Source organism: Homo sapiens, chromosome 22 (genome assembly GCF_000001405.40).
Source record: "Homo sapiens chromosome 22, GRCh38.p14 Primary Assembly".
NCBI classification, from domain to species: Eukaryota; Metazoa; Chordata; class Mammalia; order Primates; family Hominidae; genus Homo; species Homo sapiens.
In genome coordinates, this window is record NC_000022.11 from 37,223,795 (window position 1) to 37,251,425 (window position 27,631).

At 54.7% G+C, this 27,631-nt stretch overlaps 1 protein-coding gene across 2 annotated transcripts, besides 14 other annotated features; it reads right to left on the reverse strand.

The window, feature by feature from the left end:
• RAC2 (Rac family small GTPase 2) lies at positions 1,476-20,475 on the reverse strand. 2 transcript variants are annotated; one of them, NM_002872.5, is made up of 7 exons: positions 20,320-20,475; positions 17,793-17,864; positions 9,007-9,124; positions 8,138-8,200; positions 7,437-7,596; positions 2,877-3,009; positions 1,476-2,245 (listed from the first exon to the last, which is right to left on the reverse strand). In NM_002872.5, the coding sequence occupies exons 1-6, from the start codon at positions 20,352-20,354 to the stop codon at positions 2,879-2,881; spliced, it is 579 nt and encodes a 192-aa protein (NP_002863.1). In that variant the 5' UTR covers positions 20,355-20,475; the 3' UTR covers positions 1,476-2,245; positions 2,877-2,878. The 2 variants fall into 2 exon arrangements, with proteins under 2 accessions (NP_002863.1, XP_006724349.1); XM_006724286.4 differs by lacking the exons at positions 1,476-2,245; positions 2,877-3,009 and adding an exon at positions 3,945-4,149.
• Positions 6,740-6,799: an enhancer, noted in NCBI's record as "active region_18953". NCBI's record gives its function as "activates an Ori minimal core promoter by ATAC-STARR-seq in GM12878 lymphoblastoid cells {active_cell/tissue: GM12878}" and the evidence as "EXISTENCE:reporter gene assay evidence [ECO:0000049][PMID:35858748]".
• Positions 7,330-7,469: an enhancer, noted in NCBI's record as "active region_18954". NCBI's record gives its function as "activates an Ori minimal core promoter by ATAC-STARR-seq in GM12878 lymphoblastoid cells {active_cell/tissue: GM12878}" and the evidence as "EXISTENCE:reporter gene assay evidence [ECO:0000049][PMID:35858748]".
• Positions 9,957-10,458: an enhancer, noted in NCBI's record as "H3K4me1 hESC enhancer chr22:37629791-37630292 (GRCh37/hg19 assembly coordinates)". NCBI's record gives its function as "activates a minimal SCP1, AML or CMV promoter by ChIP-STARR-seq in naive H9 embryonic stem cells {active_cell/tissue: H9 hESC(naive)}" and the evidence as "EXISTENCE:reporter gene assay evidence [ECO:0000049][PMID:30033119]".
• Positions 10,459-10,958: an enhancer, noted in NCBI's record as "H3K4me1 hESC enhancer chr22:37630293-37630792 (GRCh37/hg19 assembly coordinates)". NCBI's record gives its function as "activates a minimal SCP1, AML or CMV promoter by ChIP-STARR-seq in naive H9 embryonic stem cells {active_cell/tissue: H9 hESC(naive)}" and the evidence as "EXISTENCE:reporter gene assay evidence [ECO:0000049][PMID:30033119]".
• Positions 13,239-13,917: an enhancer, noted in NCBI's record as "H3K4me1 hESC enhancer chr22:37633073-37633751 (GRCh37/hg19 assembly coordinates)". NCBI's record gives its function as "activates a minimal SCP1, AML or CMV promoter by ChIP-STARR-seq in naive H9 embryonic stem cells {active_cell/tissue: H9 hESC(naive)}" and the evidence as "EXISTENCE:reporter gene assay evidence [ECO:0000049][PMID:30033119]".
• Positions 13,918-14,596: an enhancer, noted in NCBI's record as "H3K4me1 hESC enhancer chr22:37633752-37634430 (GRCh37/hg19 assembly coordinates)". NCBI's record gives its function as "activates a minimal SCP1, AML or CMV promoter by ChIP-STARR-seq in naive H9 embryonic stem cells {active_cell/tissue: H9 hESC(naive)}" and the evidence as "EXISTENCE:reporter gene assay evidence [ECO:0000049][PMID:30033119]".
• Positions 18,265-18,828: an enhancer, noted in NCBI's record as "H3K4me1 hESC enhancer chr22:37638099-37638662 (GRCh37/hg19 assembly coordinates)". NCBI's record gives its function as "activates a minimal SCP1, AML or CMV promoter by ChIP-STARR-seq in naive H9 embryonic stem cells {active_cell/tissue: H9 hESC(naive)}" and the evidence as "EXISTENCE:reporter gene assay evidence [ECO:0000049][PMID:30033119]".
• Positions 18,829-19,392: an enhancer, noted in NCBI's record as "H3K4me1 hESC enhancer chr22:37638663-37639226 (GRCh37/hg19 assembly coordinates)". NCBI's record gives its function as "activates a minimal SCP1, AML or CMV promoter by ChIP-STARR-seq in naive H9 embryonic stem cells {active_cell/tissue: H9 hESC(naive)}" and the evidence as "EXISTENCE:reporter gene assay evidence [ECO:0000049][PMID:30033119]".
• Positions 18,850-18,999: an enhancer, noted in NCBI's record as "active region_18955". NCBI's record gives its function as "activates an Ori minimal core promoter by ATAC-STARR-seq in GM12878 lymphoblastoid cells {active_cell/tissue: GM12878}" and the evidence as "EXISTENCE:reporter gene assay evidence [ECO:0000049][PMID:35858748]".
• Positions 20,106-20,295: an enhancer, noted in NCBI's record as "active region_18956". NCBI's record gives its function as "activates an Ori minimal core promoter by ATAC-STARR-seq in GM12878 lymphoblastoid cells {active_cell/tissue: GM12878}" and the evidence as "EXISTENCE:reporter gene assay evidence [ECO:0000049][PMID:35858748]".
• Positions 20,316-20,385: an enhancer, noted in NCBI's record as "active region_18957". NCBI's record gives its function as "activates an Ori minimal core promoter by ATAC-STARR-seq in GM12878 lymphoblastoid cells {active_cell/tissue: GM12878}" and the evidence as "EXISTENCE:reporter gene assay evidence [ECO:0000049][PMID:35858748]".
• Positions 20,866-20,935: an enhancer, noted in NCBI's record as "active region_18958". NCBI's record gives its function as "activates an Ori minimal core promoter by ATAC-STARR-seq in GM12878 lymphoblastoid cells {active_cell/tissue: GM12878}" and the evidence as "EXISTENCE:reporter gene assay evidence [ECO:0000049][PMID:35858748]".
• Positions 21,086-21,135: an enhancer, noted in NCBI's record as "active region_18959". NCBI's record gives its function as "activates an Ori minimal core promoter by ATAC-STARR-seq in GM12878 lymphoblastoid cells {active_cell/tissue: GM12878}" and the evidence as "EXISTENCE:reporter gene assay evidence [ECO:0000049][PMID:35858748]".
• Positions 21,391-21,975: an enhancer, noted in NCBI's record as "H3K4me1 hESC enhancer chr22:37641225-37641809 (GRCh37/hg19 assembly coordinates)". NCBI's record gives its function as "activates a minimal SCP1, AML or CMV promoter by ChIP-STARR-seq in naive H9 embryonic stem cells {active_cell/tissue: H9 hESC(naive)}" and the evidence as "EXISTENCE:reporter gene assay evidence [ECO:0000049][PMID:30033119]".

Below are 27,631 nucleotides of genomic sequence, written 5' to 3' on the forward strand. Positions count from 1 at the left end.
CAGGGAAGTTCCAGGAGCAAAGGAAAGGGGTCCAGTATGTTCAAAGGCCTGGAATGAAAGAAGCATGAATGTGGAGTGGAAGAAATGACAGTCCAGTCTGATGGTAGAGGCACGAGTGCAATAAGAGTGGGAGGCAGAGGATGGCCAGACCTTCAGGGCCATGGTTTGTTGCGGAGGCTCTGGAGTTTATCCCAAGGCTCTGTGAAGAGGAGGGATCAGAAAGAGGCTCCCTCAGACTCTGGCCAACCTCAGGGGGTGCCTCAGGGATCTTAGACATCGAACATACTAGGGAGTGGGGTCCTGGCCGCCTGCATCTGTATGGTGCCATGGATGGGTGGGGTTTAGTATTTCCTTTCTGTTTCAGAAGAGAAGTAACTTTGAAAACATCATGACTTTGAGCTGAAACTAAGAAAAGCAAAGGGGTTTCCCCTCTGCACCTAATCCCTTTTAAGGGGGGCTCCCAGGAGGTGAGTGAGCTGGAGGGGGTCCTGCCTCAGAACATGGGGACTAATGGGGATAGTGGGGTTGGCTGGGAGCTCTGGGAAAGCACAATGTGGAAACTCAAGCATTTCATGGGCTGGAAATTGGGGTCTTCTGGGTTGTCAGGGGCAGCCTCTTAGATCTCTTAGCCTCTCTAGAGTGTCAGCCTCCTGAGGGCAGGGACTTCTGAGCACTGCTGGATCCCTGGCACCTAGAACAGTGCCAGGCACAGAAGAGGTGCTCAATAAATGTGTGTTTGATGAATGAGTGAGAAGTTGAGATAGAGGAGAGTAATTGTCCGCAGGAGGGGGAGGTCTGGCACCTCCACAGAACTTAGCAAGTCCTGAGGTGGGACTGACTGTGCAGGCACTGTTGTGCCCATGTCGGAACTTCTTAAATCCTCACAACAACCCCGCCTCTCTTTTAAAGAAACTCCCCTTTGCTTATCACCTTCGGGGTCCAGCATTGTTTCATTTCACTGCTGAAATGAACACTTTCCCATGACCTCCAGTAGTGGAGGTTGAGGGTTTCTCGCCCAAATTCCCAAATTCCCGCCAGGCTCTCAGCCCACTTTGGAACTCACCCTCCCCCCCAGTACACACGCTTTCGCTGGGGTTGCCGCAGTTCTGTTCCAGCATGGCATATGGTCCATGCCTGGCCAGTCAGAGCACAGCACTGCACCACTCTGACAAATATGATTGGTTAAAAGGGGGCCCAGGACCTAAGCTGGTCCAATCACAGTAAATCTTAGTTAGAACTTTGCCTGGGATAGACATTTGCTCTTTTTGGCTGAACTTGAACTTGGAAGGATGAGGCCCTGAACTTGAACTTGGAAGGATGAAACCCTGAACTTGAACTTGGGAGGATGAAGCCCTAAGTCGCCTGCCTGAGAATGAACCAGCCAGCAGAAGGCAGAGCCCAGAGCTAAACAAGCCTCGATGACATCATTTGAATACCTTGATCAAGCTGCACCTGAAATCACGATATCTCCAAACTTGAATCAATAAATTTATTTTCTGCTTAAGCAGGTTGAGTTGGGTTTTCTATTTGCAATAGCAAAAGTCCTGACTGGCAAGGTTTAAAAGTTTGAAGACTCTCACAGGTAAGTGCAGCTCAGGATCCTGTGAGTGCAGCAGAAAGTCTTAAGAAATGGCAGGGGCTGGTTGAACCCAGATTTTCCATTGGCTGAGCAGATATCCCCAGAGGCGTAGAAAATTAAATTTGTTTTATGTTGTTCCAAAAGAGGAGAACTGAGGCCAGAGGAGCACACTTCTGAGACACTCATTTTTGCTGGGTAGAGGAACTCTCTGGCAAGCAGGACCATCGATATTAGAGCAGCTGGCCTCAGGAGGGAGTAAGAGCCCCATCCCTGAAGGTACACAAGTTGTGGCAGCAACCATCTGGCCTGCAGTTTCCAGAGGGGAGTCAGGCGTGGGGTGGGACTGGAGTGAACGGGTAGATGCTTCCACATGCGGCAGTTGGCACTGACGGCAGGAACACGGGGGTGGCTTAATGGGTCCTGGGGCTCCCCTCTGGCCCTCAGGAAGGCAGGAGCATGAGGGGCTTGGGATGCAGCACCTGCAAATTTGCACGTTCCTGGCCTCAGGAGGCCTCCAGTACAGAAAAGACCATCAACGAAGCTCTGCAGCCATCTGCTAAGAAACGCCACAGGGAGGGGACAGCATGGCCAGCCGGGGTGCCATCAGGCTTTGGGTGGGGATCCTGGAGGATCAGACCCATCTAGGTGGGAGCGCTGGGGTGCAACCTGGAAGGAAGATAAGCAGGGAAAGAGAATTTGGGGACATGCAGAATCCACAGCTCTCGCCTTCCTGGCTCACAGCTCATTCCCACCTCCAGGTCTTTGCTCAAGGTTTGACTCCCACCAGGACTGCCAATGCTGCTCTCCCCACCTCACCAGTCCTCTCTGTCCTTCTGGTCCCACACCTCCAGGAGGCCTTGTGGGCTGCCTCCAACTCACTGACCCCACCATCTGCCCCCTGGGGATCATAGCTCAGGCTCTCCCACCTCCACCCACATATGTGGGTGCAGGATCTCCCTGGCTCGACTGGGCTCTCCTAGGGCCAGGGACCAAGGCATCTTTTCCATCACCTCCTGCAGGAATGGGCAGAGTGGGGCTCCGTGACACCCACTCCCTGGCCCGGGGGTGGGGGGTTACCAGGCATTCATTCATACCTTGGGCCTTGCCTCTGGAAGATGAGCTCCAGAGAGTGAGACTGGCCCAGGCAGATGACAAGTAGGCTGCGGAAACTGAGGCAACCTCCATACCCACCTTCTTTCTGTCCTGGCCTAAATGCCACTCACAGTGAACCAAAGGCCACTGCTCAGCCAGGGCCTGCTGTGTATGGGAGTTGGGCACTAGAGTGGGGGACTCTTACCCCTAGAGGAGGCTGCAGGCGCGCTTCTGCTGCCGCGTGGGCTGAGGGCACAGCACGGCCCGGATGGCCTCGTCGAACACGGTTTTCAGGCCTCTCTGGGTGAGAGCTGAGCACTCCAGGTATTTCACCGAGTCTGGTTGGGGAGATGGACAGGAGAGCCAAGGCCTAAGTGGCGGGGGGGGTTCTGGGCCAACATGTCTCCTATGCCATACAACCCCTTCCACGCCATACACCCCTCCCACGCCATACACCCCTCCCACGCCATACACCCTCCCGTGCCATACACCCCTCCCACGCCATACACCCCTCCCACGCCATACACCCTCCCTCCCACGCCATACACCCCTCCCACGCCATACACTCCTCCCACGCCATACACCCCTCCCACGCCATACACCCTCCCATGCCATACACCCCTCCCACGCCTCCCACGCCATACACCCCTCCCACGCCATACACCCCTCCCACGCCATATACCCCTCCCACGCCATACACCCTCCCACGCCATACACCCCTCCCACGCCATACACCCTCCCTCCCACGCCATACACCCCTCCCACGCCATACACTCCTCCCACGCCATACACCCCTCCCACGCCATACACCCTCCCATGCCATACACCCCTCCCACGCCTCCCACGCCATACACCCCTCCCACGCCATACACCCCTCCCACGCCATATACCCCTCCCACGCCATACACCCTCCCACGCCATACACCCCTCCCACGCCATACACCCCTCCCACACCATACACTCCTCCCATGCCTCCCATGCCATACAAGCCCTCCCACGCCATACACCCCCTCCCACGCCATACATCCCTCCCACGCCTCCCATGCCATACACCCCTCCCACGCCATACACCCCCTCCCACGCCATACACCCCTTCCCATGCCTCCCACGCCATATACCCCTCCCACGCCTCCCACACCATACACCCCTCCCACGCCATACACCCCTCCTATGCCATACAACCCCTCCCACCCCATACACCCCCTCCCACGCCATACACCCCTCCATGCCGTACACCCCCTCCCAAGCCATACAACTGAACACCAGGCTCTGGGGGCCGCCATCCAGTCCCAGTGGGGTCACCTGGAGGCTGTGTCACCAGGAGCAAGGAGTTTAACGTCACCGTGCCTCAGTTTCCTCATGTCTGTAATAGCGAGCGTGAACTCAGTGAGAGACTAAGGCCTCCAGGGCAGGTCTGTGTCTTTCTTGGACACATAGCCCTTAGTCCGTGGAAGGAGGGCGGGAATTTTGATGCTTTTCTGTGAAGGAAAGGGCTCAAGCATCAGTGACCAAATCTCTGGGAGCCTCACCTTCTAGAAAATTGTCTTGCCCATCCCTCCAGGATTCTCCCAGGGTTGCAAATAATCCCCAGGAGGCCTGAAGCCCTCAGGGCCCCCTCCCCAGGAACTTCCCAACATCATCAGCCCCTTCCTTAGCACCGTCCCTGTCTTACAGACAAGGAAACTGAGGCTCCTGGAGAGTATGCGACTCATCCAAACTCACACGCTGGATGTATTCCCTCAACCTGGGCCCAGCTGGGGGCCTTCTGGGAGGAGTGGCATTGGAGAGCTCCTCTGTCCTGCCATGGGAGGCCCAGCCTTCTCCCACATGAAGACCCCTCAGGGCTAGAGCCCGGGGCACAGATGAGGAGAAAGGCAGGCCTAGTTCCCACCCCCAGGGACGGCGTTCCATGACATTCTGCAAAGAGTCCGTGTGACTTCCCATGTCCATTTCAAGCTGCACAGTTTCCCTGAAGTGAAAAACCACAAAACCCCTTCTGCCGAGATGCTATGCAGGCCTGGGGGCCGATGTCAGAACCAAGAGGAAGGAGAAGGGAGGGGAGGGGAACTCTGGGCCCTCCGCCAAAGCCCGCTTGCTTCTCTGTGGCAGGATGGAAGGGGATGGACGCTGGTCACCACCTACCCTGTGCCAGGCACTGAGCTGGGTGCTTCCAACAACACCGGGGTGAGTTCCCATTTCACAGACCAGGAAACAGGCCCAGAGTGGGGAAGCCAAGGCCCGAAGGCACAGAGCTGGGGGGAGAAGTCGGGATGGCAGGAGGGGCAGCCCCTGGAACAGGGGAGCCCACTGAGGCCAGGTGCTGGGGAGAAAGGAAGGGTGGGGCAGGGACGAGGAGCCTGAGGCTCAGAGAGGATGTCACTCGCTCTGAGTCACATGCTGGGCGTCTCCCCTCTACCTGGAGGCATATACGCCCACCAGGGATCATGGGCAGTGGTTGTCATGGGGCTTGGCTGGCAAGAGCAGGGTGCCCTGAGCTCAGCCCGGAGTCTGGTCACCACAGCCCCCTGTGTTGAGGAGGTGTCACTGGGCACTTGGCCACTGTCTCCTTATAAGGGACCACATCTGCGTCCACTTCCCCCACATCCACCAACTGCCTTTTCCCTGGCACCCAGCCACCCACTCACCCAGGACAAGGGTCCTGAGCTGGGGGGCCAGGGCTCACTTTGGCTCGGCCTCTCACTGCTCTAGGACTTTAGTCAGTTCCCCCTCTCCGGGCCTCAGTCTCCCATCTGTCTAGGACTCATTGCCATGCGATGGCTCATCAAGCTGAGGCAGGGGGCAGGGGAGCTACAGAGAGGGCAAGGAGGGTGAGGGGGCGGTGGGGGCAGTGGAGGTGCAGGGAGGACAGATGGCCCTCAGCTTTGTGGCTTAGGGAGCCAGTCCACCCCTGTCAGAATCCTGGCTGGGTGGCCTTAAGCCAGCAACATGTCCCCCCGAGCCTGTTTCCTCTCTGTAAAGTGAAGGTGACAAGAGCTCTTCGTCATAGCTGCTGTGAGAATGAAGTGGCTCCCAGGAAGTGCTCAGTCCACATCAGCTGTGATTATCAGCTGGGCTCAGGGCTGCCCCCAAAACTTGTCATCCCAGGGCTGGGGAGTCCAGGTGGGCAGAGGCAGTTGCTGCTTCCCTCACTATCCCTGCCAGTCCCCCCAGGACTCCCCCTAGGCCTAAGCTGGTCTGAGGCACAGTTAAAATCACTGCCCCTGCCCCAGCTCCATGCAGGGTCAGCCAGGAAAGACTGGCTAGAGGCCAAGGCAAGAACTCTGAGTCACCACCTTATGGAGGAGAGAGGGCCTTTGGGGATTGTCCAGGTCAGCTTATGTGGAGAGGGAGACTGAGGCCCAGAGAGGGGCAGCCACTAACCCAAGGTCACACAGCCAATCAGTATCAGAGCCAGGACCAGAATCCAGGCCTCCAGCACCCTCCACATGATCCCAAAGCATGTGCTTTACAAGGGAGAGGTCAGTGACAGCCAGGCCACAGGCTGGAGAGCTGCACCCTGAATAGAAGGAGTCCAGGGGCAGGGGTTGGAGGGGTGCTGGTTGGTCAGAAAGAGAAGGCAGGGATGAATCCTTGATATTTAAAAGGAAAGACTTGCAGGCTGGGGAGCTGTGGCCCTAGGACAGGGGAAGGGAGCCAGGGTGTGAGCCATAGTCTGAGGCCCCCGGGGAAGATGGCTGTGTCACCACGCTAGTCACAGAAGGAGGGAGGTGGTGGCTGCGGTTTCTCTTCCTGTGAAGAGATGTGAGTCCCCAGGGCCCTCCCAGTTCCGGCAGGGGGAGGTGGGGCGGGGCTGGGGCGGTGGGGCGGGAGGAGGTCTAGTGGATTCAATTTGGGGGCCAAACCCTGGGCCTGCAGAGTCCTGTGGTGAGGCAGAGGGCACAGCTCATATGACCAAACCCAGCTGGTGGTTTTGGGCTTTTGGGCAAGGATCCCTGAGCTACAGACACATTGGGACCTACCAGGGACAGGGACAGGAACAGCCAGCAGGCCTGGGTACCATGCATGAAGCCAGACCCATGGTCATCGCCTCCCTGATGCAGGCAGCCCTGAGCCACTACAAAGAAGCACCCCCCAGCAGTGAGCCAATAATTTGCTGTCCTTCCTTCAAATCTGGCTGGGCCACCTACTAGCTGGGTGACCTTGAGAAGTTACTATATTTCTCCAGCCCAGTGATTTGGAGGCAAAGAGGGGTCGAGCTGAGAAACCAAAGGGAGTGGGGAAAGGGAGGAGAGAAGGTGGTGGAAGGAAATGTGTCACCCTTTAGATCTAATGCAGCGCCACCTCCTCCAGGAAGCCTTCCCAGAACACCCAAGTTTGACTTGCCACTTGTCCTCCAAGCAACCACAGCACCCCCACTCAATCTCTGCTTCTGTCTGCTCAAAGCACACCTCCTTATTTTCAGTATCTATTAATAGATACTACTCATACTACTAGGACGACTACTACTAACACAGAGTGCTTCTCACACACAGGTGCTGCCCTGGCAGCTCCACCTGGAATAAGTTACTGAATTCCCCCAACCACCCCAGGAGGCAGGAGCTATCACTATCCCATGCTTTTCTGATAAGGAAACACAGGCAGAGAGAGGCTACGTGACTCGCCCAAGGTCACACAGCAAGTGCACAGCACAGCTGAGTTCAAACTGCACAGCCTGGCCCTGCAGCCCGTGTTTACAATCACACCACGAGGCCAAGTCAGGGCCTCCCCTGCAGCCAGATCGCCCCTCTGAGCCCGAGGCCCATACCAATCTCCTTGGCCAGTGCCAGGCCCTGCGGGTAGGTGATGGGAGCCAGCTTCTTCTCCTTCAGTTTCTCGATGGTGTCCTTGTCGTCCCGCAGGTCCAGCTTGGTGCCCACCAGGATGATGGGTGTGCTGGGGCAGTGGTGCCGCACTTCTGGGAACCACTGGGCAGGTGGGTGGGGGGACACAAGGTTGTATGGGTCAAGAGGGGGCGCGAGGCTGTGCGGGGATCAGAGGGAGTGTGAGGGTGTAGGGAGAGGAGAGGCAGCAAGTTGCCAGAAGATCAGAGGTGGGCACGACGGTGAGGAGAGAGAGACGTGAGGTGGCACAGGGAGGGGAGGCCACGACGTTGTGCAGGAAGGAGGGGGCGCATGATTGTAGGAAAGGAGGAGGCGAGGTTTTGTGCAGACATAAGAAGCAAACATGAGGTTATGTGACAATCGGAGGCGGACATGAGGTTGTGTGGGGAGGAGGAGAATGCAGCCATGGAAAGTGGGGGTATAGCTAACTATCGCAGCACCCCCCACCCCAGGTCCTCTGAATCTTACCCCCTCAAGTCCCTCTGCCAGCCCTGGTTGGCACTGGGGACCCTCTCTGTATGCGACCTCTGCTGCCCCAGGGACCAGCCTAGAGTCACCAGTTCCTCCCTCTGTCCCTCAGGGTTACCTGCCCCAGAGCCCCCAAGGCCCACCCTGTCCAGCTCACCTTGGCGCGGACGTTCTCATAAGAGGCTGGGCTGACGAGGGAGAAGCAGATGAGGAAGACGTCCTGGGGACAGAGCAAGCGAGGTTGCTAGTGAGGAGGGCCCAGAGGTGTCCCACCATGGCAGCCACCGAGAGGTGGAGCTTGGGGCTCCCTGAGGGTGGAACACCCCAGGGAATGCTGGGGACTTAGGATCTGGGCAGAGCAGAGATACCCTTCTCGCCTCTACCACGAGGCTGCTGTTTGTTAGGACGCTCACTAAAGGCCAGGGCCTCTGCGAAGTGGTTATCCTCACATGTCACTCTGCAGCAAGCACTGCTGGTAGCCCCATTCCTCAGACAGGGAAAGTGAGGCTTCCAGAGGTTAAAGAGTTTGCCAACGTGCACTCTGGTGAGGGGAGGATCTGGGATTCTAGAGTCCATACTCCAATCCATATACTATCCACCATCTGATTACCGGCCTTAGCCGCCTCCCTGCATACCCTGGAGGAAGGGCGAGGACCCAGCAGCCACCTGCAGGCATCCTCCACCTCTCCCCTCCCCCAGCACTCCCAGGGCTCACCATGCTGGGCTGCCTCCTGGGGCCCTGTGCAGAATCCACCTGCCCCACCACTGGAAACAGGGGGTGCCAGAGCCCAGGAGGCAATGGGGTGGGAAGATGGGCACATTGAGGACCGGGAACCAATGCAGGGCTGAGGGAGTGCAAGAGGAAGCCCTTCTCTGCCTGGGACATGCAAGGCAGGCAGACTCCCTGAGCTGGGCCTTAAGGGGAGAGGTAGGGTTTCCCAGGCTGAGCTGGCTGGAAGGGCATCCCAAGCAGAGGGAACAGAGACAGCAAAGGTCAGGACTGCAAGGCAGGTGGGAGCAGCACACCGTCTGTGGATAGGAGAGCGGCCGGAGACGGTCGTAGTCCTCCTGCCCAGCAGTGTCCCACAGCCCCAGGTTCACTGGCTTGCTGTCCACCATCACATTGGCTGAATAGTTGTCAAACCTGTGGGGAGCAGGCAAGGCGGAGGTAAGGTCAATCTCAAACCCCAGAACCTGGGAATTGTGGTCCAGCTCCATGTCATTCCTCGGAGGCTGAGACCTAGAGACAGTCTGCGACTGGCCCAAAGTCACACAGCATTTGCAATTGGGTTTCTTTATTTGTTTCATTACTGATTCATTATATTTTTTAAAAATGTAATACAAGTTAACAAGAAGAAAAAAAGATTGTCTCTTAATCCTTTTCCTACCCGTACCTGTCCTTTGGAAAGGTAATTGAGGCTGTGTAACTTTTCCTCCCAGTCTTGATGAGAATAAACTTACCTCTCTCCCTATGCTGCCACTCAATGTTTGCTTTTTGTTGTTTTTTGTTTGTTTGTTTGTTTTTTGAAATGGAATCACGCTCTGTCGCCCAGGCTGGAGTGCAGTGGCACCATCTCGGCCCACTGCAAACTCTGCCCCCTGGGTTCAAGTGATTCTCCTGCCTCGGCCTCCCAAGTAGCTGGGATTACAGGCATGCACCACCACGCCCAGCTAATTTTTGTATTTTTAGTAGAAACAGGGTTTCACCATGTTGACCAGGCTGGTCTCGAACCCCTGAACTTAAGTGATCCGCCCGCCTCGGCCTCTCAAAGTGCTAGGATTACAGGCGTGAGCCACTGCGCCCAGCCGCAATATTTTGTCGAATGAATGTTCATCCCGTCTCAGGCTGGGTCCCCCCAGAAGCAAACCCTGAGACAAGGAGGTGATGTGAGGGGTTTATTCGGGAAGTGACTCCAGGATGCTGCAGAAGGGGAGTGGGGAGGAATAAAGGAGGGGACAGCAGCTGACACAGGGCAGGTGGTTGAGTTGTCATGGCTGTGGACTGCTGCTGCTCTCAGTCCTGCTGGGGCCACCTGGGAGACAGAACGGACCGTGCTCAGGGCGTCCCCAGAGAAGGCAGGAAGCTAGGGTGCTGTCATTCATCTCCCATCTTCCAGGGAAAGAGGGCTGCTTCCGGGGCCTTTCAGCCCACCCCAGAGTGTGCGTGAAAGCTGTTAGTCACTGGCCATGGGAAGGGCCACGGCAAACGGTAGAAAGACACATGCTGCCGAGGAGATGGTGTGAGGCACTGACCTTGACTCCCAATGTCTCCCGCCAGACCCAGAGAGCCCTGCAGGGCCATCGAACGAGCCTCCAGATGCACTTGCTAGGCACCTACTATGCATCGGGTGCAGAGCCAGCGCTGGGGCCACCAAGGAGTACATGCCTGATCCTGCCCCCACAGCTGGCGGAAGGCCAGACACGGGGTGAGGGGCCTGACAAATATCAGAGACGGGGAAGCCCAACGAATGCTGGGAGGGCCATCCCAGGGCTCCAAGCTCGGAATAGGGGAGGTTTTGCAAGCCAGTTCTTGCTACACACATCCCCGCGAGGAAGGTGCTGGCTACCCACGCTGTGGAAGGGAAAACTTGGCTCAGAGAGATGCAGTGACTTGCCCAAGGCCACACAGCCAGTGAGTGACCCAACTAGGTAAGAAACCAGAAACCAGTGACCACGACCAGTGCTCACTGCCCCAGGCCACAGCTGTGCCTCCGGGAATGCCCTCACCGCCTGCCCCTGAGGGTTAGGGAATCACTGTCACTTTTCCCGCTGTGGTCCCCCACACAGGCCCTGACCTGGTCCACTGAGACCTCCGGCTCCTCTGACTTCTCCTCCTACTCCTCCCCTCGCACACCAGCCAAGCCGTTTCCCGGGAAAGGCTCACACTGCCCACCTCCCTGTGCTGGTCCACACAAAGCCCCTGCCCAGAATGTCCTTCCCACCTTAGCTGTCCATATGTTCTCACCAACCTGGTCTCTGGCCCCCACACCCTCCAGGCTGCCCAGCCCTCCAAGCCTTTGATCCTGTCTGTATCTCCCTCTGGAATACGCTTCCAGCCCCATTTCACTCCCAACTTCTATTCATGCTTCAAAACCCTGCCCAGACAAGTCCTCCTCTCTGGCGGAGCTTCGTCGTCCTCTACCTGTAAAGAGCCCATGGTTCCCTCTCTCAGGTGACTACTTTGCCTGGACCACGAGCAGGCACTTGGTGAGTCTCCACCCCTTCAAGGGCTGTGGGTTCTGTGTGGGCCAGGCCGATGCCTGCTTATTCTCCACAGTCTCAGGCCTGTCACCCAGTGAATGCAGGTGGAAGGGAATTAAACCACCTCCTCCAGGAAGTCCTCAGAGAACGCTACTCAATGTTAGGCTGCAGAAGCGCTAACACTTCAGAGTAACACAAAAGACACCTCTCCTGAGAGGAGTCCCCCACACCCCCAAAAAGTGGGCAGCCCAGCCTTTTTAATACACTTTGCCTGTCCAGCCCTGGACAGAATTCCTGGTTACCTCTCAGTTCCTCAAACGGCCCTGTTCCCGCCTGTCTGGAAAGTGCCTGCAAACAGTGGCCCCTGACTTCCCACTCTCCTTCCTCTCTCCCTTCTCTTCCTCCCCACTGCCAGGCTGGCTGACTTTTACTCATCCCTCCAGCCCCTGCTCAATGTCACCTCCTCCAAGAAGCCTTTCCTGACTTCCAGCCATGTCGGGGCTACCACCCCACCTAAACCAGCACTCCTTGGGGAACTCAGCATCCCAGGTGGCAGGCACTAAGCCTCATTTGTTTGCCGCTGCACCCTGGGGCCAGCCCGCGGTCTGGTGCACAGCAGGTGCTGGCGTGCACCTACTCTGGGTACCACCTACACTGCTGTGGGATTTCAGGAAGAAGGCGCTGTCCAGGGAGACACAGTGAGGCATGATGGGAAAAGCCACACCTGTGTTGTTTTTCCAGTTTTGACCAGAAACACACTTTTGGGAAATGCTTGGACACTCTCTCCTCTAATGTCCAGCCACAGTGCTAGTGCCAAGAAGCCCCACAAGATTCACCTGTCTCCTCTGGGTCATCCCTGGAATCTCAGGGCCACGGTGATGGGGAAAGAGCTGGGACCTTGAGAAGCAACAGCCACCTTCTCTGAGGCCAGGCAGGGGGCTGAGGGTCTTTGTATGTTAGGTCTTGAAGTCTCATGTGATCCAAGACAAAAGGATCTTAAGTTACCCCCATTAGACAGATGAGGAAACTGAGGCCTGAAGAGGTCAAGGACCTTTCTTGTTGGGCGGGAACACAGAGTTCCTTGGGAAGCCAGGACATCCTGGCTGTGTGACCCTGGGTGAGTGACCTAACTTCTCTGAGCCTCAATCTCTTTAATGTGGAGGGGAAAATACCTATTTCTTGGAGCCATTAGGAGAATCCAAAAAAACAGAGGATGTTCAAGCCACCCCACTGGGAGATGCTGAGAAGCTAAGCAGTCTCATTTTCCATGTCCCCAAATGCCCCTGCCACAGGGCCCCTCCCCAGAGGACCAGAGGGACAGGTGCAGGAATGTGTCAATGGTGTGACACCCCTGAGGGTCCCCCTTACTTAAGAGACCCACAGGCAGCCAGGACCAGAGAGGAACCTTATGCACAGACCACCATGGGCAACCCTCACCCCATTTTCCGGATGAAGAAATTGAGGCTTACAGAGAGGAAGGGACTTGCCCAAGATCTCCCAGCCAGTGGGTGGCAGAGCAAGGCTAGATCCTGTTACCCAATTCAGAAAGGCCCACATGGTAAGCATCGCTGCTATTTCATGGCTGGAAATGGAGTTGGAGAGAGCAGAGACCATGTTTTCATCTAGTGCCTGTAGAACTCTGAGGCCTGGCCCTAGAATGGAGTGGAGGAGGGGAATGGGGCAGGTGGAAGGGGCCCCAGCACCCAGGTATCACCTGACCACCACCGAAGCCCACCCCCACGGAGGAAGGATGGTGCATTCAAGGAACCCAGAGACCACAGGGCACGCATGGCTAGTGACTTGGGGGTGAGAAAGGATTGATGTCATAGGGGCACGGACCAGTCAGGTCTTGGTTCTCAGGGCAATGGGGAACCAGCAAGGGGCCAAGCCAGGCAGAGGTGATGAGATCAGATTTGCATTTATAAAAGGTCCCAGCTGGGCACGGTGGCTCACGCCTGTAATCCCAGCACTTTGGGAGGCTGAGGCAGGTGGATCACCAGGTCAAGAGATCGAGACCATCCTGGCCAACATGGTGAAACCCTGTCTCTACCAAAAATACAAAACTTAGCTGGGTGTGGTGGTGCATGCCTGTAGTCCCAGCTACTTGGGAGGCTGAGGCAGCAGAATCGCTTGAACCCGGGAGGCAGAGGTTGCAGTGAGCCGAGATCGCACCACTGCACTCCAGCCTGGTGACACAGCGAGACTCCGTCAGGAAGGAAGGAAGGAAGGGAGGAAGGGAGGGAGGAAGGGAGGGAGGGAAGGAGGGAGGGAGGGAGGGACCCTCTTGGAGAAGTCTTAGGGAGGGGCCAGAGGGGAACAGAGGGGGAAACTGGCACATCAGCCAGGAGGGGAGGCCCTTACCGTGCTATTGGTTGAAAGATGAAGGCAGCTGGAGGTGTCACGGGGCAGGGAGAGGTGGAGCAGGAGGGAACAGAATACCCAACAGAAGGGGTGCCTGAGCTAAGGCAGAGGCTTGAGCCACTGGACATCATGAGGCACCCACACACACAGCGGCAGGAGCAGGGATGGGGCTGCCGAGAGGCCAGGCAGAACCTGGTGGGGCCTGGCGCACACAGCTAGGGAGGCTGATGTCATCCTGTCCACTGGAATCCCAGGCTGGATTCGCCAGTTTACCGAAGAGAGGATTTCAAATGAAAGTGAAAATTAAGTGCCAAATGATTCAACCTCAATTAGCAGCACACATTCTTCCATGCAGAGCTGAGCCCTGCCTTCCTCCCCGGGGTCGGGGAGGCAGTCATGACGGAGCAACAGGAATGGGCTCAGCTCTGTTCTAGAAACTGGCGCGATGGCAGGGAGTGAGGCAGATAAGGGCCCCGTCCTCAGGGAGCTTCCATCCAAGAGGAGGAGTGGCAGCAAAGGAGCAGCAAGATGAAGTCGGGCTGTCGGGGGGCCTATGAAGACAGCCAAGCAGGGTGGTGGGATGGAGAGGGCAGGTTGGAGACGGGGGGCTGCTGTAGACAGGGGGTCAAGGAGGCGATGTTTAAGCAGGGAACTGAATGACAGGAAGCAGGGAGGGTTCTGGGTGTCATAAAGGGGAGTGAAGAGGTTCGGGGGAGGCAGAGATCATCAAGGCAGTCTGTGTACTTGGAGTGAAGTGGGTAAGGGGTGTGGTAAATGAGGCTGGGGAGACGGGGGCTGTTGTTCACGGTTTGCGCATTAAGATGAGTTTTAAGTGTGAAGGGAGCCACAGGAGAGATTTAGGCCAGGTTAACTTTCAGTTGTTTTTTGGGAGGCTCTTTTTATTTTATTTTATTTTTTGAGACAGGGTCTCACTTTGTTGCCCAGGCTGGAGTGCAGTAGCACAATCACAGCTCAATGCAGCCGCACCCTCCTAGGCTCAAGCGATCCTCCCACCTCAGTCTCCCGAGTCGCTGGGACTACAGGCATGCACCACCATGCCCGGCTAATTTTTGTATTTTTTGTAGAGATGGGGTTTCTGCTCCATGTTGCCCAGGCTGGTCTCGAACTCATGGGCTCAAGCGATCTGCCTGCCTCAGCCTCCCAAAGTGCTGGGATTACAGGCATGAGCCACGGCGCCCAGCCTAACTTTCAGTTTTAAAAGCTCACCAGGGCTTCCGTCGAGCTTGGTTCTAACGAGGTGAGGTGTAAGGGGGCGCCCCTCTATGCCACAGGCACACGAGGGCACTGTCTTCCTGCCATGTTTCTGTATCCCCAACACCTAGCACGGGGCCATCCACAGAGCAGACTCAGGCTCCCCATCTGCGAAACGGGGGATTTGATGCAAAGAACTCACAGGGCCCTGCCGGCTCCAATATAGGGTCTATACAACAGAGCAGGCGGCAAGAGCCAATCACGGTGCAGCCCCACGAGTCCTGGCAACTGATTGGCTGCTCAGGAAGGTGTCAGTTCCGAAGGTTCAGGTCCATCCCTTTGCTGTTAACCCCTCATGGCTGGCAGCATGGGGAGCCAGCTCTCAGGCTTATCTGATCTTGTATCTGCAGCAGGGGCCTCCCCAACCCCCAGCAAACCTACCATCCTCAGCCCAGAAGCTCTCTCCACCTTAATCTCAGGTGCCAGAGATTTGGGGCTGCCTGTTTTTCCCAACCCACCTTCTCTCCCTCTTCCCCCTCCAATGTCAAGGGCCCAGTGTGACTATTTTACCCTCCCTTCACAGGGGCACAGGCATTGGCAGTAGCAGGATCCCGCTCTGGGGTCTCGTCTGGGGCTGAGAAACTTTGTGCCTGAAGCCATATGAGGGTGTGAGGCAGGATTCACCACAGAACTTGCAAGACCCAGTGCAAAATGGAAGTACAGGGCCCATGCTCAAAAATGATTAAGAATTTCAAGATGTAGACATCAGAGTATTAAACAAGGTGCAGGACCCTTCTGAGCATGGGGCCCTGTGCAATTGGATAGGTGGCCACACGCATAGAGCTGGCCCTACTGGGATACCTTCACCCAATCCTTCGGAGAGACTTGGGAAGGTAGATCTGGTCGGGCCTATTTCTCCAGCTTCTGTGATGTTGTCCAGGACAACAAAGTCCACTAGGGGCCACCAGGGATCAGGGACCTCCAGGCTGCTGAGAGCACCTGGCCATAACCTGGCCTCAGCAGCCTCAGCCATCCATCTCAACGTACAAGGGAGGTGCCTGGGGAAGGAGCTTGGGACTTCCAAGCCTCTACCTCTTATAGAAAAGGAGATTGAGGCTCAGAGAGGGGAAGTGATTGGTCCAAGGTCCTTCAGCAAGTGGGTCCTTCAACTCAGCCAAGATGCACAAAGGCGGGACAAGGTCTCAAGCCAGCATCCAGAGACCCAGGGACAGAGGCAGTGACAACACACTGCTGGTGACCATGGCCTTGAGCAGGAGCTGCCTCACCTAATTCTCCCTCCCTGCTCAGGTTTGCAGCCAGCCCTCCCTTGGCACTTAGAGGCACCTGATAAACGTTTGATAGTTGATGGTGAGTGGGCAGGAATCCTTGTTCCCATTTTGTATATAAGGACAGGACCAGAGAGGGGCACTCACCAGCATCAGGACCGAGCTGGGGCAAAAGCGGCTTTCTAGGCTCTCTGCTAGGGTTTCCCTGCCCTCTCCTGGCTGCCTGCCTTCCTCTAGCCTGGGCCAGGGCATCTAAGGCAGCTGAGCAGAGTGTCCCGGGGAGAGACAGCAGCAGAGAGAGCCCAGCCCACCCAAGTCTGGGGTTGGGGGTTGGGTAGTGAGGAATCCTCTGGGGTGGGTTGGAAGCATCTCGGCTCCAGGCTCTCTTCTCCCTTCTGCCTGCCCTCCTCTTCCTAGGAGAGCCTGATCCCTGCCCCTGAAAGGGGGGTTCATTAAGATCAAGAAATGAGGGCCCCCGCGAGGTTCTGCATGGACCTTGGCTCTGAAGCTGGACAGGACCGTGTAAGCCTGGGAGGCAAGCCTCTTAGTGGCTGTGAGGCTCAGCTTCCCCATGGGTGTCCTGTGCATGCTAATAGCCATCTCCCAGGGGGATCAAATGAGATCACACATGTGTGACATCTTGCGCAGGGGCCAGCATGTGGCAGGCCTTTGCTAGATGGTGGCTATGATCGATCTTCCTGTGGTCCTTCCCACGATGTCCAAGTCAGGTCAACTCAAAACACATGTGTTGTGTGTAAGGTAATGCATGTGTCATACCATGTAGAAGACACTGTGCTGAGATAATGGGAGACCCACAAAGAGCTGGCCATGGCTCCCTGCCCTCCACAGGCTCATAGTCATGGGAGAGATCAGATAAAGTCACTCTGGGGAGTGGAGACCCCTTCGTGGTAGATCAGAAAGGCTTCCCGGAGGAGGGGGCACTGGAGCTGCGCCTGGAGGCTTTAGACAGGTGGATGTGGGGAGAAAAAGCACTATGGGGAGAGAGAACAGCTTGAGCAAAGGCCCTGGGGTAGAAATGTGCAGGGAGCTTGTGGCGAACAGTAGGGTCCGGAGGAGGCAGAGTGTGAAGCAAAGTAATGGGTAATAAGGCCAGGTGGGAGGTTGAGTGAAGGCCATCAGGAGCCTTGAGTGCCATGCTAGGGAGTCGGGGAAATGTCCTAGGAGTGATGGGGACCCCTGAGGGCTGGCCAGGGAGGGGCTGGTGCCTCCCCAGTCATCCTTCCCTCCTGAGTCTGACACCAACACGCTCCCTCCACGTCCGATGACAGCCCTGCCTCCGCATCCTGCAATAGAGCGCAGGGCCTCCCAGGCCTGCAGACAGCTCTGTTCCACCCCTCAGCATGCCTTGTCCCCAGGTGTCCCTGTTCCTTGGAGTCAGGCTCTCTGGATCACCTCCTCCAGCAGCCTGCTTCCGCAGAAGCTCCTCTCCCAGCTCCTGCTCTTGCCTGAGCCAGCCTTCTCCTCCACGTCCCTTTGCTTGGAGGCCCAGCCTAAAGGCCACCCCTCCTCCCTTCTACCCCTTCCTCCATACCCCATCCCGGGTTCTGGGAGCCCCCAGCACCTCTCAGCGCCAGTGCTGCCTTCTTGGCTGGACTGTCAGGCAGCTCCACTGGGCTGGAGGCTGTGGGTGCCCACACAGGGTCTGGCCCACAGGAAGTGCCTGAAAGGGGGGTCGACTTGGTGACGGTCTCTCCCCTCCTCCCACCACCCCACATATCCCCAGGAACTCACACGGTGGGGATGTACTCTCCGGGAAAGGCGTTGGTGGTGTAGCTGATGAGAAGGCAGGTCTTGCCCACGGCCCTGAAAGACAGGAAGTGCAAGAGGGCGGCGGTCATGGGCTCTGCCGGAGACGTGGGGAGGTTTCTGCCTGGTCCTCTGCAAAGACCTCAGCATCCACCCAGCCTAGCCCTCTGGGCCTCCGTCTCCCCATGTGAGATGCCCCCTGTCTGTGTTCTCACACCCGAGAGCCTGCAAGTCATGTGGATGTTTGTTAAAGTGGAGACTTCAGGGTCCAGCCCCAGAGATTCTGATCCACAGGTGTGCGCAGAGCTGGCAATCCGCTTTTCCCACAGGCTTCTCCAGGGGCCAGTGATGTGGGACAGAGGGTGCCCAGCAGACCCAGGCAATGCCGAGGGGCCCCCGACGCCTGACCTGGGCTTCAAATCCCAGCTGTACCACCTACCAGTGGTATGATCTTGGACAAGTCACTTAACCTGCCTCTGCCTCAGTTTCTCCATCTAGAAAATAGAGATGAGCCCATCCTCATAGGAGTGTGCTGAGGAGTAAATCCAACGAGGCCTATCAAAGCACTGAGCACAGGGCCTGATGCATGGCAGCAGCCGATGGCTGCTAGGGAAGACCTGACCCTGCTCTTCCCTCTCACCTCCCCCGTGGAGCAGAGCAGTTACCAGGTCAGGGTTTGAGTCAGAGTGGTCTGGGTTCAAATCCTGTGAGGCTTTGGGCAAATTACTTAGCTTCCCTGAACTTTCATTTTCCCACCTGTAAAATGGACCTATTAGGTTTGGTGAGAGGATAAATAGAGAAGGCTAGATTAACCCCAGAGCTGGTACATAGGAAGGAAGTGATAACGCGCGCCTCCTCCACCCTCAGCATGCGAGGCTGGGAGCGGGTGCAGGTAGCTCAGCCGAAGCCCAGAGGCCAAGGGACAGCTCTGGGCCTTCCCCTGCCCTGCGTGGTTTTGTCACTTCCTGCTCAGAGAAGACAGCTCATCCTCTCCTCCTACCATCGCCCTCCCCTGGGCCTGCCACCGAGGTAATTTTGAATGACTGGAACGTTAACCCTTGACTTCCGCCCGCCCCTCCTCCGATCAGATACAAAGCAGAAGTGAACAGGGCTGGGGCAGGCGAGGGCAGATAAGGAGCCATGCATCAGAATCAGCTGAGGCTGGTGGACAAATGGGCCCGCCCCCACCTAGATGGGTCACAGCCAAAGTCGGGGCCACAGGGCCCAGGCCAGGAGAGCTGAGTCTCTCAAAGCCTTGGGCTGCTCCTCTGTAGAATGGGAAGGCTGGACAGGAGGCCCCCTTCCAGCTAGAACATGCTCCAGGGTGAGCCTGTAGGCTGGACCCTAAGATGTGGCTGCTGGCAGGCATGACAGATTGACAAATTGGACCTGTCCTTTTATTTTGTGTTTTTTTAAGAGACAGCGTCTTGCTCTGTCACCCAGGCTGACTGCAGTGGCACCATTATAGCTCACTGCAGCCTCAAACTCCCGGGCTCAGGCGATTCTCCCACCTCAGCCTCCCCAGTAGCTGGGACTGCAGGCGCATATGCCACCACTCCTGGCTTAAAAAAATTTTTTTATAGACATAGGTTCTCGCTATGATGCTTAGGCTGGTCTCAAGCTCCTGGCCTCAAGCAATCCTCCCATCTTGGCCTCTCAAAATGCTAGGACTACAGGCATGAGCCACTGCACCTGGCCTGGACCTGTCATTTTACAGATGAGGAAACTGAGGCCCCCAGGGGACAAGACAGCCTGAAGTCACTGGGATCTGACAACTGAGAAGGGTCTCAGCCCAGCCTGCCCCTCCCCTGCCGACCCCACAATCACCCTCCCATCCTTTAGCCTCCTCCTTCCCTCTCTGTCTCTCAATGTCCCCTTGCCTCTTCTGCTCCTCACCCACATCCCCCACACATCCTCCCCAACCCGGTAGGCTGAGGGGAGGGGAGAGAAAGTGGAGGGGGTGCTAGAAGGCACATACTACAAGCAAGACAGCCACTCAGCTTATCTCAAGCGACCCCACAGCATCCCCAGGGCATAGGCCTCCTCCCAGATGAATAAGCTGAGGTTCAGAGAGGTGCTGTGACTTGCCCAAGGCCACACAGCGGCACCAAGCCAGTGACGACAGCCCAGGTCAGCCTGGGGACAAAGGCTGAATTTCAGGTTTCCCACTTCCCTCCTGCATCCACAGAGTAAAGACTGAGGCTTGCCTCCGTGGGAGACCTGCCCCCAGCTTTTGGGGTGCAGGTGAGGAGCCCTGGGCACTCTCACCCATAGTCCTGCACCCTCCACCGAGATGGCTTCTGGGGTGGGGTGGGGCTGAAGAGGGTGAAGCTCCCCTCAGCCCACCCCCGGGTGCTCCCTGTGGGCCCTCGGAGAAGGAAGCGTCCCCTCCAAGCTGCCTTCCAGGGACGCCTAGTTCTGCAGGGCCAGGGGCTTCCCCAGGGGCACCAGGGCGGAAGGATCTCAGGGCATCCCAGTTGGGGGCTGTGAGGAAGTCCAGCCAGGTACCTACCCATCTCCCACCACCACACACTTGATGGCCTGCATCGTGTCCGGAGCCTGGAGAGTGTCGGTGGTGACAGCTCAGGGCCAGGCGCGTTTCTGCGGGCGCAAGGGGTGTGGAGGCTGGTGAGGCGCCTGCTGAGGAGCAGCGGTGGTGGGGCAGGAGGAAACGGAAGGGGAACTTACTCAAGCTGCTCTCCCCACGGTCGTTTGCAGGGGGCGGAGCATGCGGTCTGGCAGAGCAGCTGGTGGGAGGGGCGCTCAGGTGCTGGGCTGAGCCCTGGCCATCCCCACAGGCCCCCTGCGTGGAGGCTCCAGCAGGAGACCTGGGGGCCCTCTGTGCTGGGAGGCTCACTTCCTGTCCACGGGGCGGGCCCAGAGGCTGTTCTCCAAGAACTTGAGGGTTCCAAGAATTCAGTGCACTTCAATTCTAAGCAGAGCATTTAATGAGTGCCTGCTGTGTGCCAGGCACAGTACCAGGTGCTGGTGATCCCAGGATGCAAGAGACAGCTGGTCCCTGGAGTTTATACCCTTTGCAGAGAGGGAGGCATGACTTCATCATGGGAGATCATAACAGAGACAGGAAGTGATTGAGGCAACGGGGGAATCTACAGAGAGGACCTCAGGGTTACCGAGATGGAGAGCTGGGGGCCTGCAAGCTAGCATTGGAGCTGGCTCTTGAAACGTGCGCCCTAAAGAGGGAACTCCAGGTGGGGGGAGATTGCTTGAGCCAGGACCCAGAGGCTCCCCCAGGCAAGGGCCTGTGTGGGAGTCCCTGGGTGGGAGGATGTGGGGCGATGAGGCAGGAAGGGAAGGTGGGGTCCGCTGATGGAGAAGGGCACATTGAGGGGAAGTGGCGGGCAGTGCCCCACAGGAGCCAAGCCTATTCTGAGGCCGCCCTGGGGGACCAGGCACCCTGGAGCTAGAACTGTGGCCCATTTCCCTGATGCGAAAACTGAGGGTCTGAGAAGTCATTTGACCACCTAGCCTGAAACCAGCCCTAGGCTCAGGTGACTCCAAGCTCTTCTCCAAGCTGCAGCTATTGGCTCCGGCTGCTGTTTGAAGGGACAAAACCTGAGTTCTGCAGCTTGCAGGGCGCTCCCTTCGCCACGAGGGCTCTCCACGTGGACTCGGGTGAATATTCGACCACCCCAGTTGGCACCAAGTTCACTGTTCATTGCTATCACTCCCCACCCACACACCTTTCCAGCTCCGGGGGGAAGGGACGGAGGGGCGGGGAGAGGAAGAGCCACTGGTCACCCACCCTGGACTCGTCACTCGGGACAAGCCAGGAACTCCAAAGGAGGGTGCAGAGGGCCAGGGCCTGCTGGCTGGCAGAGCGCAGGATTCCCACCAGGCACCCGGAGGCTGAACCTTTTCAGAGCAATTCACACAAGTTACTGGGTTCACAACATTGACTTTTACAGAAAGGGAAATGCAACTTCCTCAAGCGCTGGGCAAGTCAACTGTTAAAGCTACCAGCAAACCGGTGTCTTTCCTCTGCACTTTGCATACGCTGTGCTGAGACTGTGGGTCAGAGAGGCCAGGTGTGCCCCGTGACCACCCTGGGGCTTCCTCCCTCACAGGCCACCTGAGGACTTTGTTCTGGATACTTCTCTATGCCCCTTTCTTTTTCCATCCACTGCTAGTCCACGGGGCAACCTCTGTGTTAATTTAAATAATAATAATAATGTATTAAATGCAGTGCGGTACCCCAGATTAGAACCTGGAACAGAAAAAGAACATTTGTGGAGCTTCAGTAAGACAGAAAGAGTAAGTTCTGGTGTCCTGTTACACAGTAGGGTGACTACAGCAAATCTCAATCTCGTGCATATTTCAAGACAGCTGGAAGGGAAGGTTTCAAATGTCGCAACAAAGAAATGATAAATATTAAAAGTGATGGATGTGGGAATTACCTGGATTTGATTGATCATTATACGGTGTATACATGCATTGGAACATCACATTGTACCCCATAAATATGTACGATTATTATGTGTCAATTACAAATTAAAAATTTTTAATACATTTTTTAAAAGAATTCATTTCTAGTTCTTGAAGGGGGAAAAAGAAACAAGTGTTTCATCTATAAATGCAGCTTCTTGAAGCAATTTAAACGATTAAATTAGCTTTAAAAAAAAAAGAACATCAGGCCGGGTGTGGTGGCTCACGCCTGTAATACCAGCACTTTGGGAGGCCGAGGCTGGTGGATCGCCTGAGGTCAGGAGTTTGAGACCAGCCTGGCCAATATGGTGAAACCCCGTCACTACTAGAAATACAAAAAATTAACGAGGCGTGGTGGCGGGCACCTGTAATCCCAGCTACTCAAGATGCTGAGGCAGAGAATTGCTTGAACCCGGGAGGCAGAGGTTGCAGTGAGCCGAGATCGCACCATTGCACTCCAGCCTGGGCAACAAGAGTGAAACTCCGTCTCAAAAAAATAAAATAAAATAAAATAAAATAAAAATAAGAACATCAGTGGAAAAAGTAGTAAAATCCAAATCAAGTCTGAAATTTTTGATAGTATTGTTAAGAATAGTAATTTCTTAGTTTTGACAAATATACCGTGGTTACACAAATGATGTTAGCATAGAGAGAAACTGGGTGAAAATGTATGTGAACACTCCTGCTATCTTTGCACCTTTCCTGTACATCTAAAATTCTTCCAGAATAAAACATTTTTTTGTTTAAAAAAGGGAAGAGAAAAGAATAATGCGCTTCTTTAGGAATGCACAGCCAATGGGTGCAGCCACCTGACTTGGAAAGCAGTGTAGATACTGAGTTTTATCCTTCGTTCACCTACTAGAGCAGAGATTGTTGTTTTTTGTTTTGTTTTGTTTGTTTGTTTGTTTGTTTGTTTTGAGACAGAGTCTCGCTCTGTCGCCGGTCTGGAGTGCAGTGGCGTGATCTCGGCTCACTGCAACCTCCGCCTCCCGAGTTCAAGCAATTCTCCTGCCTCAACCTCCCGAGTAGCTGGGACTACAGGCGCGTGCCACCGCACCCAGCTAATTTTTTTGTATTTTTAGTAGAGACAGAGTTTCACCATGTTGGCCAGAATGGTCTTGATCTCCTGACCTCGTGATCCACCCGCCTTGGCCTCCCAAAGTGCTGGGATTACAGGCATGAGCCACCGCGCCCGGCCTTTTTTTTTTTTTTTTTTTTTTTTTTGCAGTACACAACCCACTCAACTGTACATGGCCATGACGGTCCTAAAATTGCAACTGCCCTCCCTCCCAAGAAAGCCACTTCTCCAGGGCAGCCCAAGCAAAAATTCTCCTTAGCTTAAGCCATTGATTCTCTCCTTCATTCTGCATGCATCAATGATACACCACCTGAATACCCAGCTCTGGGCTTGGTACTGTAGTGAATACAAAACATGGAAGAACAGAAAGCTATCCCTGAAGCACTCTAACCCACACCGAGAATGACACAGGAGCCCTGGAACCACTCTCTGGGAATGTCCCCCATCTGCAGGTGGTCCTGGGATTGTGTGGACAGGCCAGGGTTGGCAGGATGGCCAGATGGAGGAGTGAAGCCACTTGGACGACAGCAGTCAGGCCCAAGTCTACGTGACCAAGTCCATGATGCAGCGGCACTGACCTCTGCTCCAGCCCTCCTCGCCTTTTAGTTCTTTTTTTAAAAGTATCCATATGCACTTTCGGAGCCGAGGCGGGCAGATCACGCGGTCAAGAGATGGAGACCGTTCTGGTCAACGTGGTGAAACCCTGTCTCTACTAAAAATACAAAAATTAGCTGGGCATGGTGGCGTACACCTATAGTCCCAGCTACTCAGGAGGCTGAGGCAGGAGAATGGCTTGAACCCGGGAGGCAGAGGTTGCAGTGAGCTGAGATCGCACCACTGCACTCCAGCCTGGCGACCGAGCGAGACTCCGTCTCAAAAAAAAAAAAGTATCTATGTGGAAGTATAATTTGAATACAATAAGTGATCCATTTAAAGCATATAATTCCATTCATTTTGACAGATATATGCACCCATGGAACCTCCCAAGATACAGAACATCACAGAACACTTCCATCACTTTGAAAAGCTTCCTTGCACCCCCCTGCAGCCCACCTCTCCCTGTTTCTCCCTCCCCACGCCCCCAGCCACCGCCCAGCTCACACACACAAGCTCCGATCTGCTTTTTGCCTCTGTAGATTACTTTGCGTTTTCTAGGATTTCACATAAACGGCATCACACGGTGTGGCATCTCATCCAAGGCCCTTTCACACAGCATATTTTCGAGATTCATCTTGTTGTTACATGTGTCATGGTGTGTCTGTCCCTTTTATTAGTGAGTAGTGTCCCACCGCAGGGATGTGTCACATTTGGTTATTCATTTAGTCCCATCCTCTTTTGACTACACTTTGCAAACTCACTGAATCACAGAACCACGAGGCCTCTGGGCATGCTTAGAAGGGGCCTAAGGCCATCTGTATTCAACCCACCCTTGTGCCATTGATAGACAATGCTTGGCTCACTGCCCATGATGCAGCTGCCCAGTCCCTGCTTACATACCTTCAATGACAGGGAGCTCATTCCCTTAAGGGGCAGTCTCTTTCACTCCTGGCTAGCCTGGCCTGTTAGAAAACCCTTCCTCATTTTCAGCCCAAATCCTTCCCTTGGATTGTCCTCATAGAGGTGCTACCTCTTGTTCTGGGGCCACTCAGGGTCAGTCAGCTCCCTCCTCCTCACCACAGGCCTTCGAATTTGGGAGGCACAGTCCCACCCAGCAGTGTGCTGGGAAATGTTCAACTTAGAGTTCCAGTTTAGTTATTTTTCTGGTAAATATTCCAGTATATGAATGTATTGAAATGTTATTTATCCAATTCATGCAGATAATGACATTAAATACATATCACACAAAAACTAAAAACAGTCAATATATCGCCACACCCTAAATTCTGTCCAAAGTGTGTAAAGACCTACTCATATTTATTTCGTTTTTCCTTTTTTGAGACAGGGTCTCACTCTGTTGCCCAGGCTGGAGTGCAATCATGGCTCACTGCAGCCTACATCTCCCGGGCCAGGATTTGTAAGTGGCTTGCAATGTTTGCACTACAAACGATTCTGCTGTGAACATCCATGTGCTCCTGGGCTGGTGTGTGAGGTTTAGCATACACACACATATCTTGCACTTCAACGGACAGTGCTACGCCCATCTCCAGGGGCCTCCTCGTCTACTCCCAGCCCATGCTTGGCCTGTAAGACTTCATACTTTTGCCAGCTAGATGGGTGTGAATTGGCATCTCACTGAGGTTTTAATTTATATTAACTGATTCCCAGTGGTATTAAGCATCATTGTAAGTGATTACTGGACCTTGTGTTTCCTGTTCCATAAATTGCTTTTTCTTCACTTTTCTCCATTTCTCTATTGGAGCATTTATCTATTTTATTTTATTTATTTTATTTTATTATTTTATTTTTTGAGATGGAGTTTCACTCTTGTTGCCCAGGCTGGAGTGCAATGTCGTGATCTCGGCTCACTGCAACCTCCGCCTCCCAGGTTCAAGCGATTCTTCTGCCTCAGCCTCTTGAGTAGCGATGATTAAAGATACACGCCACCATGCCCGGCTAATTTTTGTATTTTTAGTAGAGATGGGGTTTCACCATGTTGGCCAGGCTGGTCTCAAACTCCTGACCTCAGGTGATCCACCCACTTCTGCCTCCCAGGTAGTGCTGGGATTACAGGCGTGAGCCACTGTGCCAGGCCCAGTATTTATCCTTCTCTTACATTTATTTGGAGAAGCTCTTTGCATATTCTGATTTTCATTTGAATTGCTAGAGGCATTTCATACTTTCTTCCAGTCCGTGGGATGTCTTTTAATATGTTGTGACATTTAATAGACACAATTTTTATCTGCATGTAGTCAAATTTCCACTTTCTCTCCTAATTGAGGTAGGAGGCAGGGTTTGACTCAAGACCAGACTGAGGACTAGCAGAAATGGGGACGAGGCGAAAGCACCTCTTCATGAGACATGCCCAGCAGCGCCATGTCAGTTTACCATTGCCATGGCAACACCCGGACGTTACCACCCCTTTCCATAGCAACAGCCCGGAAACTACCACCCTTTTTCTAGAAAGTTCTAAATACCCCACCCCTTAATTTGCATGTGACTAAAAGTGGGTATAAATATGACGGTGGAACTGCCCCTGAGCTGCTGCTCTCAGTACACTGCCCGTCAGGTAGCCCTACTCTGCAGGGGCACTCGCGCAGCTGTAACACTGCCACCTCCATAAAGCTGTTTTCTTCCACCGTCAGCTCAGCACGGAATTCCTTCCTGAGAGAACCCAAGAACCTTCCAAAGCTAAGCCCCAATTTGGAGGCTCACCTGCCCTGCATCATAATGACTTGTGTTTTTTGGAGTGAATCTTACTTAAAAATTCCTTTCCTTCCCCCAATTTCATGAAGACGAATATCCTCATTTTCTTTTAAAGTTTTGCTTTTCATAAACAGGTCTTGTCAGGTGCAGTGGCTCATGCCTGCAATCCCAGCACTTTGGGAGATGAAGGCACATAGATCACTTGAGCCCAGGAGTTTGAAACCATCTTGGGTAATATGGTGAAACCCCATCTCTACAAAAAATACAAAAATTAGCCAGATGTGTTGGTGCATGCCTGTAGTCCTAGCTACTCAGGAGGCTAAGGTGGGCAGGTCGCTTGAGCCTGGGAGGTCGAGGCTGCAGTGAGCCATGATCATACCACTGTACTCCAGCCTGGGCAACAGAGTGAGACCCTGTCTCAAGAAAGAAAAAAGAAAATAAATATGAGTAGGTCTTTACACACTTCAGACGGAATTTAGGGTGTGGTGAGATTATTGACTGTTTTTAGTTTTTGTGTGATATGTATTTTTTTATTATTGTATTTTATTTTATTTTTGGAGACTGAGTCTCACTCTGTCACCCAGGCTGGAGTGCAGTGGCATGATCCCAGCTCACTGCAACCTCTGCCTACGGGGCTCAAGCGGTTCTCCTGCCTCAGCCTCCCAAGTAGCTGGGATTACAGGCACGCACCACCACACCCAGCTAATTTTGTATATTTAGTAGAGATGGGGCTTCACCATGTTAGCCAGGCTGATCTCGAACTCCCAACCTCTGGTGATCTGCCCGCCTCGGCCTCCCAGAGTGCTGGGATTACAGGCGTGAGCCACCGCACCTGGCCTGTGTGATATGTATTTAACATCATTATCTCCATGACTGATTGTTCCAGAACCATTTATTGAGTAGCTCTGCCTGCTTTTTGCCCAGTAAGCTGTGGTCAAGCCATCTCGCATCTCACAGTTCCACTGCTATAAAGAAATATCTGGGAATGGGTAATTTA

Excerpts from the sequence above, each read along its gene's own strand:
- RAC2 (NM_002872.5), bottom strand. The coding sequence starts at position 20,354 with ATGCAGGCCATCAAGTGTGTGGTGGTGGGAGATGG. Across the intron at positions 9,125-17,792 it reads GGAGAGTACATCCCCACCGT|GTTTGACAACTATTCAGCCA; the intron begins GTGAGTTCCTGG and ends TGCTCCCCACAG. Across the intron at positions 3,010-7,436 it reads GGCACTGGCCAAGGAGATTG|ACTCGGTGAAATACCTGGAG; the intron begins GTATGGGCCTCG and ends CTCCCCAACCAG.